Genomic DNA, 11789 nt, shown 5'->3' on the forward strand with positions numbered 1-11789 from the left:
CACAAATACAAATAATTTTTTTCAATAAGCAAACACCAAATAGGATGTCATTTACCACCCATTTCTTCAGAGACAGTCAATGTCACTCCTTCAGATAGACTTACTGGTTAAATCCATAAACATGTATTAAAATGTTTATTCTAGGCTCTTTTTTAGGCATGACAGTAAATAAGACAGAAAAAGTCTCCGTTCACAAGAAGGCTGCATTTTGGTGGAGAAGAACAGACAATAAACAGAAAACAAATTGTGTGCAAAATTACTTTATATCATTATTAGATATAAAGATATTAGATATGAAGGAAATGAGCAGGGTGAATTAACACTTACAGAAAAAGGAGAATCTCTATGTATTTATGTATCTATTATCTGTCATCTATCTATCTATCTCTGTCTAATCTATTGTCTACGCATCTATTTATCATCTATTATTATCTATCTATATGGAGACTTTATATTTTCTGCTTTGTAATACCTTTGAAATTCTTATTCTTCCATTGAAAAAAGTGGAACTTTATTCCCTTCCAAGAGGAAAAGTAGGGCAAATTTCAGAAGCATCTTCAAGTAATGGAATCATGGCTGGGTGACACCGGTCATATCAGTTTTATACTATGCATCTTAGTTTCCTTGTGGGTTAAGGGCACAAGGTCATCTTCTCTGAATCTGTGGTCCATGAAAGGATTTGAGGGGTCTCCTAAAGTAGTGTGTAGAGGTTTTTTTTATATTTGCAATTAAAAATTGCATTAAAGTTTCAAAAATATCTATAAACTCACAGTCAAGAACTACTGGATTTAATTCCAATGCCCTCATACCAACAGTCTATGAAATCTTTGTCATGGGAATTTGGGAGCTGTTGACATCCTGACAGTATCAGGATGCATCCATATTTATCTGGTATATTTGAGTCAGTTCAGATTTGAAGCAATATTTTGGAATTTTACGTAAAATTTACTTCTGGTTTTCTCTTGAAATCCTGCCTCTTATCTCTGTTTTTGGATTCTCTAATCTCCTAATCTCTGCAGATTTTCATTTCTGCTCTTGCAGAGTGGGTTTACTTGTGTAGTTGTGCCTGTAAATAAAGAATCTCTCTCTCTCTCACACACACACACACACACAGAAACACACAATCTCAGTTCCGATGAATTTAAAAAGCAAGACTAAAAATGGCTTCACAATCATATGCTATGGTCTGGAATATAATAATTTAAATCACTGATCACAAAATAAATAAAGTGCGTGTATATTGGAGGCTAAGAAAATGAGAGACAGCTGCCTTAAATCTTACTGGAATAGGCAGGGTAAGTATAAACAAACAAACAAACAAACAGCAAACATGACAATGATGAAAGTAGCCCAGGTCTTCAGGGTGGTGCAGCAGACTCTTTGATTCCTTTATGCGCTCATTTTTCATTCTGAAAAATAAATGTAGCCATCTCCTTGTAATTCACTCTTCCCAGTGGAAAATATAATCAATGGTAACTGTATTTATTTATGCAGAATTTTATAACCCATTGACATCCTCAAAATGAGTTTTCCAACATCCAGAAAGAAAACTCTCCAATACATGTCAAGGACTTTGAAGTACCTTCCTACTGACTTGTATTGTACGCTGAAACCAACAGTGTCAAAGAAAAAACACTTACGTTCCTTCACTGATGTGTCGTGCATGCCCATTCGTTTTTCTAATATTGAGTCTTGGCATTGATTCCTCTTTCCTGAAATCAAAGAGAAGAGAGCTCCAGATTTTAGATTAAGAAAGAAAGCTCATAGATGTGTGGATTTTAGTGACAAGGAAGAAAAAGTCTCAAGATCTCAAACTGGAAGCCTGCTGACTAATTGTATTTTCTAGCTCATTACGTTGGTAACTATAATTCATTGCATGGACAAGTACAACTTACCCTATAATCTATATGCATATCAAATTTCTGTAAGTTGATTTATATTTAAAACCCACTTTATATGCTCCCTTGCTCAACCTCTGTGAGGGCAGGTGTTCGGTCTATTCTGTTCACTGTTGAGTTCCTGATATTAATGCAGTGCCTGGCATGTATAGAGACCTTAGTAGTAATTATTTGAATGAATACCTAAATGAATGGCTGAATAAATGAGTTAATTAATGAAGATACAGTACTAGGAGATGTTACTAGTTAAGACTTCCAATGACTAATTTCTATACATGTATATTTTCCTGATAGCAAGTTCTCAAAACTCACTTAAGTACTCTAGTGATTCTTTTATTCAAGAGCCATTTTTTTCCTCTTCTTGTTAATAGCTACAATGAACTGAGGCTTTTGGGCAATATCTCTACAAGATTTTATTTCTATTTAGATGTGGAATGACTTGGAAATGTTACAGTTGTTTTTGGCTGAATATTCCTGATGTACGGTAATTTTGGTAAGCAGTGTTTAGTCTGTACGTTATTCTGGAAGTTCTTATAACATTCTGTGGCTGAGGAATCCAGAACCAGGAAGGGACAAGGGTCTGGGGAAACTTACCAAGTTCTGGGGCCAGCAATTGGAGGCCAATGCGTTTGTCCAAAGGCACTTGGAGAGCTCAGGCTTAATTTGGGCAGGAATAGGGGTTACAGCAAGAATGGAAGCAGCCTGGGATGCTCAAAATTAAGCATGGGATGGTGATGTGATCTCTGGATTCAGGCCTAGGTGGGATGTTGCAAGAGAAAGGCTGGCCTTGTGATGAAATATCAATCCTAGAGCCTCTATTTGGACCTGTATTAATATGACATGATCTGAGGAAGGCCATAGTTTGGGAGCAAATATGCCCAAGGGGATATTTAAGATCTGTCCTACACCAGCTCTATGATGTTGAGCCAAATTCCAAATGGCGAGGCTAATTTCAAACTCCATGTGGAAGAGTTGAGGGTTTAATCTGCTTTCCACTCTATTCTAGAATAACTCAGGGACCAGGAGGGGTGTATCTGTACATGAGGGTTCCTGAGTAATATAGATGTGAGGCTTGAGAGAGGCAGACTGATAAAGTTAATCCATCAGGAAATCAGCACCAAGTCTTTGTTCCAACAATTCTCATCCATTAGTAAATCAAAGGTCTAAGTATCATTGTTAATAATAAGAGAAATGTGCAAATGTGTGAATTTGCAGCCCAGTGTTACACTTCTCGCAAATACTATATATCTTTTCAGGTTCCCCCCCACGATATGCACGCATGGGCGCAAGCAAACACACACACATACATACACACACGCACACACACACAGGCTTAGTGTTCAGGTAGGAGCTTGTCAAGGAAAAAATAAATCTAGACTTAGGATTTTATTCAAAATCCAAAAGGATTCTTTTCATTCAAAAGGACTTTTGTAAAAGGAATGAGGGGAGAGAGACGATTGCACTAAGCAGGGCGGGGCGACGGGTATTGCCCTAGAGTGAATGCTGGGACAATTAAGTCTGCAAAAAGGAGTTTTCATTTACAGAGAGAAGTAGACAAAGCTGGAAAGAACTGGATGTGAGGTGGTGGAATGAACGGGTCTGGGTCAGATCGCAGATCAGAGAATGTTTGACTTTGAGGCCAGTGTGTTCTCAGGAGAGGCTGCATGCTGGCTAACGCTGAGGGAGGGCCAAAGTTTAAGGACCTGGGGGAAGAAGAGAAGCTTGACCAAGATGTATGTCAATTGATCAGCAGAGAAAAGCAGTTCAGCTCCTCATTTATGAGTCAAGAAAGGGAATTTGGGGAGTCTGTGTCTCCCTTGTCTTAACTTGTCCTAGGTAAACCAGGGGGCAGGTGTCTGTAAGTCTGAGTCCTACAGGTAGAGTGGTTATTTGCAGTAAGCCCTTTTCCAAAACACAATAGGGTGCAGGATTCCCTGAACAGTCACTGTTTTCCAGGATCACAAGGCTCAGGGAGGATTTGACATGGCCAAGCTCAACTCTGGGGCAAGCTAGGGTCTCACTTCACCCTAGAAAGGCATGGAAGCTGCTGTAAATCCTGGTTCCTGCTTCAGATGGCTCAGGTCCATGCTGCTCTAGTTGGCTGGTGGAAAGAGGAGAACAGGGGGATCCTGGAAGTGACAGCAGGGAGGGCTTGCTTATTGGCCCAGCCCCTGACACCAACCTGGCTGAACCTCTAGCCATCCAGACCACTGCAGGCAAATGCCTAACTTATTGAATTTGTGAAGTTCCCTCTCTGCTGCCTGCATTCCCAACAGTGAAATCCATTTACCAGGCTAAATATATTTAGGGAATTCAGAATCTTGGTAGCATGAATACTAAATTTCTGTACTACTGACTGATTTTTTGGTCTCTCTGTATCATATTAGTACAAGGGGTTGGCTTTTCCAAGGCCAACTTAGCATGGTCATAAAACTTATCCTGTTGGACAAAAGAAAGGTTGTGGCCTGGTGTGGTGGCTCATGCCTGTAATCCCAGCACTTTGAGAGGCTGAGGCAGGTGGATCACTTGAGGTCAGGAGTTCAACACCAGCCTGGTCAACATGGTGAAACCCCATCTCTACTAAAAATGTAAAAATAAGCTGGGTGTGGTGGCGAACACCTGTAATCCCAGCTACTTGGAAGACTCAGGCAGGAGAATCACTTGAACCCAGGAGATGGAGGTTGCAGTAAGCCTAGATCATGACATTGCACTCCAGCCTGGGCCACAGAGTGAGACTCCATCTCAAAAAAAAAAAAAAAAAAAAAAGGTTGTGATATTTGTGTGCAAGCAACCACCAAGGAATACAGTAGCATTTTTTTTCTGCATACATTTAAAAAGTAAAGATCCATATGATGCCAGGCCATTGGCCTGGGAGGCAAGAAAAACTAGCTCAAATAAAATATACTGTTTCTGATTAAGAAAACACTTTTTATTCGTATAAAGTATTTATTAGGTATTGGATTTTATAAACTGTTTGGTCCTGGAGTCTTTATTTTAAAAAGGTTATTCTGAATGCATTACCAACTATCCTGTGGAATATTTCACATAAAAGGAAGCAAAAAATGTGTGAATGTAAACAGGCTAATTGTATGCAGATATAAATTATGGATGCTGGTCTTATGAAAAAGCATTGCTGATTTGCAGGGGTCTTACTCAGCAGCTCTGTGTCTTGTCTAAGGGGATATTTAGTATGGCTGTGATGTGCAGAATTTAAAATAAAACTTTGAATTCTGGAGAGTAAAATATAGCCCAATTGTGCTAAGATCACACTGTGGGGAGAATGAGGTTTTTATCTACCTTATTGCTCTTGACTTTGACACTCATTAGCTCTCTTATCCTACGTGTGCTCTTGTCTCCAGATGCTCTGCAAAGGCAAAGGTTTGGTCAGGCCTGTTTATGGGTCTGCAATGCTTCTCTGCAGTCACTGCAGGTGACACTGTCTCCAACACTCTACATGGTTTTCATTGCTCAAGTGGGTATATCATACCCACGGCTAAGGTTAAAAAGGCATCTGGAGTCTCGGGAGATCTAGGTTATTAAAGATTCCACCCCCTGACCCCCGCCGCTTACAAAACAAATGAAAACATGAAACTTATAAAGGATGCTGTAGACAAAAGGCAATCATGTAGAACGCTGCAAACCGAAAGGCCTGTGGTATGATTACCTCTGATGCTGGAAATGTGCCAGGCCACCACCAATTTTTATCTAAGTTATGCCAACACGTTTAACCTTGAGTTAAAGAAACTGCCCATGCCATCCCAAAGCACTGAGGAAATAGGGAAAATGAACAACTTCCTACGTGTAAAATAATTGATCTCATATTTTATGATATGTGACACCGAATGTTGTAGAGATTTATGTGGACAGCATAAACCTTTATCTGACATGTGATGTAAATGCTTCACAGTAAATAATTAACTAGAACAGGCTGACTTTCCTTTCCAGGAATCAGGTACTGGTTAGTCCAGGGCAGAAGGACAGACTGGAACTATGAAAAAAAGCATTTTGTCCTTGTTCTAAATTATGAGTAGTAAACTTAGTATTTAGAAACAATGGGAGTTTCTAAGGTCTATAACGATAAAGTATACTTTAAGGTAATTTTAACGCAGTCTAAAGAAGGTAGCTGCCATATTAACTCTCTGGAGGAATGGAATAAATTATATAGCAGAGTTCTCCAGCAGGATAGAATAAAAAAACACAAAGAAGCCTTGTGGTCGGGCACAGGATCTGCATTTTCCCTTGAACTGTAATGTTTGTAACTAAGTCACTCACCATGAGAATGTTTTATGGTTTGAATCTGACTATAGGCCAGATTATCTGGAAGAAGCTTGGCCTTGCTCTTGGTTCTTTTTTTTAAACTTGCTCTTCACCATAATGCTGCTTTTTGCCTACCCTGATTGAAGAGCTCCTTATAACAAATTTCTCTTCTCAGTAACCTCCAGATTTCTTAGCCTGGACTTGATATCCAGGGCCTTTCCAACACAATTTAGTGGGTCATCTAATTTAAATGAACTAGACTATATCATAGTGTTAATATGTCAGCTTCTCTGAGCCCAAATACTTTGGTTTTCATTGGTAGCTGGAAAAATGAACTTTAAGCTAGCACTTTGGGGTCATCTATTTAGCATATATTTATTGAATGTTTATTGTAAGCAAAAGCGACACCAAAATATTGTCTTAATAACCTTTTGAAGCCAGGCGTGGTGGCTCATGCCTGTAATCCCAGTACTTTGGGAGGCCGACGTGGGTGGATGATGAGGTCAGGAGATTGAGACCATACTGGCCAACATGGTGAAACCCCGTCTCTACTAAAAATGTAAAAATTAGCTGGGTGTGGTGGCATGCACCTGTAATCGCAGCTACTCGGGAGGCTGAGGCAGGAGAATCACTTAAACCTGGGGGGCAGAGGTTGCAGAGAGCTGAGATTGCACCACTGCACTCCAGCCTGGTGACAGAGTGAGACTCCATCTCAAAAAAAAAAAAAAAATCTTTTGAGATTGGCATGAGCCCAGTTTTAAGATGATAGAATTAAGGTCACAGTTGTTAAGCGTTTGTTGCTGCCCTTTGTTGTCATTTGTAATTGGTCTTGGATGTTTTGTATACAGAAGTCTGTCAAGTAGAGACTAGCAGACGATTTGGTTAATTTCAGATGTGTGCACAGGCTGGGGCGTGGTGGCTCATGCCTGTAATTCCAGCACTTTGGGAGGCCAAAGCGGGAGGATCTGTTGAGACGAAGATTTTCAGACCAGCCTTTGCCACATAGCAAGACCCGCTTCTCCACAAAAAAACACAAAAACTGGCCAGGTGTGGTGGCGCACACTTGTGGTCATACCCACAGCTAAGGTTAAAAAGGCATCATACCACAGGCCTTTCTGTTTGCAGCATTCTACATGATTGCCTTTTGTCTATAGCATCCTTTATAAGTTTCATGTTTTCATTTGTTTTGTAAGTGGCGGGGGTCAGGGGGTGGAATCTTTAATAACCTAGATCACCTGCTGTCATACCCACAGTTACTTAAGAAGCTGAGGTAAGAGGGTTGCTTGAGCCCAGGAGGTTGAAGCAGCAGTGAGCTGTGACTGTGCCATTGCACTCCAGCCTAGGCGACGGAGCAAGGCCCTGTCTCTGAAGCGAAAGAAAAAAATAAAACCCAATATGTGGACAGCCTGATCGTATTCCAATCTGAAGTCACGGTAATCTGGTTTGATAGTCTCTGCTGCCTACGTTGTCCAGGCAATTACCAAGGAGCTCCTCCATCTTGTGCTGGGTAGACTCAGATTTGCCAGTTTGAAAACTGGAGATAGCCATGCTTTTCACAGAAAACACCACCATTCCATTATGTCATTTTAGATCTAAAAGAGATTCCTCAAAGTGCTGGAAGATGGTTGTTTAATTGTAAGGTGCTTATTCCCCTTCCCCATCCAACAACACTCCAGTAACCCCAGTAAAAGGCCCCCACCCCGAGGCAGGCATTCACTGCGGGATAATAAAGCTGACAAGTAAATGATAAATTATAGGACATACTAAACACTGACTTGGTTGGACAAGTTATCTCAGCTCAAAATGTGGACTTATTTACTGAAATCTAAAGTTTAAAACATATTTTTACTACTACTAAGATAGCTCTGTAAATGAAACCAAAAAAAACCTGTTCATAATGGCTATTGTATCTGAAAATTATTGCTATAATAACTGGAACTCCATAACATTTTCTTAAAATTTGATGGCTTATTTTCCTTTGATAAAAATTCTACTTGTATATTAAAAAAAACTTTTTGATGTTGTAAAAATGAAGTAATAGAATTCGGGAAGGCCACTTCCTTATGGGGCACTTAAGAGCTGAATTATCAAAGAGAACCCAGAGAAGTGGGGGAATTCATCCAAATTTAGAAGGGCTTAATGAGCTCATCTCTGACTTTTCATCTCTATCTGCAAATGAGCTGAAAGCTGCAGCTGTTTTCACAGGCAGAAAACTGGACTTTGGTGGACAGCCACAAAAGAGTATGTGACCTTTCATTCAAGAAAAGATAAAGAGCTATTTGTGGATATTGGAAATGCGAAGGTAACGTCTACATCCCCCAGGGAAGCAACAGCTCCGAACTCAGGGCTATCAAAGCGTTTTCAAAAGTGAGACTAGATATTAATTTAGACTAGTAAGCAGCAAAGGAAGTTTTATCAAAGCATCCAAAACAGAGTTCTTATTGCTCGTGCAGCTTAATTCTCAAGTTGAGTTTGAGCCACAAATTTAGATTCTGCTTTATCATAGAATAAATTAAATGTGATACTTTTGAAGCGGATTCAGTTTTTTGTTTGTTTGTTTTTAAGTTTACTACTCTTCTTGATTCCATCCAGAAAATGGATGAATTTAGGTGCCAAAACTACTGGATTCTACTGTTGTTAGTTACAAGGTCAGGTCAATTTAAAATTTAAGATCCTAAAAATGAATTATGGGCACTAGACACTAAAATACATATGTAATATGCTGTAGCATTTCATATTAAAATGCTGAATACATTTAATAATGAGGTAAATAAAAAGAGGGCATTTTAAAAAAAAATTAAGTACTCCAGTGCCTGGACCAGAATTCCATCAGGCAGTTATAAAATGAAGAGCAGAGGCCAATTGACTGAAAAATGCAAAATATGTTTGTGTATGATGATGGTGTGAAAAGAAAGCTTGTCTTGTCTTGTGAGAAATAACTGTTTGTGCCTCATGGCTGAGAGGTGCTGTTCAGGACCAGTTACTCCACTGCATGAACAATCAAGCTTACAGAATATGTGTAAACCTATGATTTCTGTTGATTTATGTACTTTGTGTCTAATGTATTCATCAGTGAGTGCTGAATAAATACATATGAAACAAGATTTTTAAATATGTGAACCTAATATATAACACATTTCATTACTCACCTTAACATTGATAACCTGAAAATTTAGGATGCAGCCTGGGCAACATGGCAAGACCCCCTCTCTATGAAAAATAGAAAAAATAAGCAAATTAATCAGGCTTAGTGGTGCATGCCTATAGTCCCAGCTACTCAGGAGGCTGAGGCAGGAGGATCTCCTAAGCCCAGGTAGGTTGAGGCTGCAGTGAGCCGAGATAGTGCCACTGCACATCAGCTTGGGTGACAGAGTGAGACACTGTCTGGAAAAAAAAAAAAAGAGATGTGTTATTGGGAATTCAGGAAGTTTTCAGCCCTTCTATTATTATGCTACCATATTGGACACAGGACAGATATGAAGGTGTATTTATGAATTGATTGACTAATTTCAGAAGTGTAGTTCACACTACTCTTTAGAACTAAACTTTCTTTCTTAAACACAGTGTCTCTGATGTGGTTCCCCACACATTTATTGGAGCAACTTCTGTTTTTTTTTTCAACTGGAAAAGTGTTCTCTAATCTTTACAGAATGTGTCCCTGGGTTTCTTCAGCTTCTAATTTCCCTAGTAATAGGAGAAGAGATCAGATGTTATGTGTAGGACTTGCGCCAGCCCTCTGGGCTCCCAGCTCAGGCTCTGTTAATGACTTTGTTTAGGCCAATACTCTTATACCTCAACGCTCCAATCTCTGCCATCCCTTCTTGGGAATGACAACACAGGGCCTGAAAAAAAATACACGCTATTCTTAAGTATAATATTTTTCCTTCCATGTCATAGCCATTTTTAGATGATCAACACCTAAAATTTTATCACTAATAACCACATAAGACATAGTCTTGATTTAGTTGTGATTAGACTATATATATATATATTTCCATATAGAAATATACCCATTATGACTTTTTCTCATTCTTTTATCTCTTTACTAACCAATATTAGTGTGTATAATAATTTTCTGTTTAATAGATTTAGCTCAAAGCAAAGCCAAAGGAAGCTGAACTGCAATGATGCTTCCTATTTGTATATTAAATTACAGTTTGTAAAGCATTTGGAGAATTTTTACACATTTACTGTCCCAACAACTTTGCAAAGTAGTTACAGAGTCAGGTCAATTTAAAATTTAAGATCCTAAAAATGAATTATGAGCACTAGATGCTAAAATACATATATAATATGCTATAGCACTTCACATTAAAATGCTGGATACATTTAATAATGGGGTAAATAAGAAGAGGGCATTTTTTTGAAAAATTCAGTACTCCTGTGCTGTTATCCCTATTTTACAGATGAGGAGAATGAGAGAGGTGAGTGACTTGGCCAAGGTCACACGCCTAGGAAGTGGCAGAGCCAGTAGTCAGGTCTAATGGCTACAAATTGGAGTATGTCGCAGTACACATGGGGAAGGAGAAGGCCCTATGTAAGCATGTGTATCTCCTTTCATGTTAAATTTCCTCATTAGCAATTTCTTTCTCTCCTCCATTCCTTTCTTCCTCCCTCTGTCCCCCCTTTTCTTTCCTTCCTTCTTCTTTTTCTCTTTGTCTTTTTACCCTCCCTCCTTCCTTCCCTTTCTCTCCTCCTCCTTCCCTCCCTCCCACCCTTCCTTTATTCTTCCCATCTTTCCTTTCTTTCAACAACTCTCAGTGAGCATTTACAATGTCCTAGACACTCTTCTAAATATTGAAGGTAAAATGATGAAGAAAACAACAAAAATCGTCAAACTAGGATATGGAGTACTGTAGGAATCAAACTGAGCTTTTTATCTCCCTGGCATAACATGACAAAAAATGTACTTCTTGTTCATGGAAATCTGGTGCAGGTTGGAGACCCTCCTTCTCCTGGGGTTGTACCATCTGAAAAAGGTAGCTTCCAAACAGTCATGGCAGCAGGGGAAAATTGGAATGAAGAAGACACCTTGACTCTTAATGATTTGGTCCAGAAGTGACATAAGTCACTTCTGCTCACAGTCCACATGGCCTCTGCCTGGCTGACGGGGAGGCTGGGGAATACTAGGGTGAGCAAACTATCCTTTTCCTAACCCTGTCCTCACGGAGCTTTTAGTCTGTAGGTGGGGAAGGCACAGATAATTAATAAGTGAACAAATAATTGCAAACAGTGATAGGTACAGTAAAGAAAATAGGCAGTGGCAGGTAATAATAGACAGAGCCCAGAAAAAATTGGGGACATTGAGAAAATCTCTCAGGCTTTTGCCTTTTGGGAGGGCATCCAGCTGAGACGTGCCCAGAAAATGGGAGATAATATATGTGGGATGTTTTAAGCCACTAAGCTTGTGGTAGTTAACCATGCAGCAGCATTAAACTACTACAAACAGTGTCACAGTTTTCTCATAATCTGTTAGTTAATATCATACTTAAGTTTTTATTATGGGCTTTTTAAACTTCTTCTTTAATAGTTTGTTAAAACTGGAATACATGCAAAAAGAATATTTAAAATGTATGTCACAAATATAAAGTAAAACAATAATTCAAATACCTCCTAGCTTATGAGATAGAGTTT

At 39.2% G+C, this 11789-nt stretch overlaps 1 long non-coding RNA gene across 1 annotated transcript; it reads right to left on the reverse strand.

The window, feature by feature from the left end:
• Positions 1-1173: 1173 nt before the first annotated feature.
• On the reverse strand, positions 1174-9366 carry LOC105378069 (uncharacterized). Its single transcript, XR_943135.1, has 3 exons — positions 9305-9366; positions 1641-1712; positions 1174-1409 (listed from the first exon to the last, which is right to left on the reverse strand). It is a non-coding gene; the product is annotated as an uncharacterized LOC105378069 (long non-coding RNA).
• Between the last annotated feature and the right edge of the window lie 2423 nt (positions 9367-11789).

The sequence above is a fragment of the Homo sapiens genome, chromosome 6 (assembly GCF_000001405.40).
Source record: "Homo sapiens chromosome 6, GRCh38.p14 Primary Assembly".
In the NCBI taxonomy this organism is placed as follows: Eukaryota; Metazoa; Chordata; class Mammalia; order Primates; family Hominidae; genus Homo; species Homo sapiens.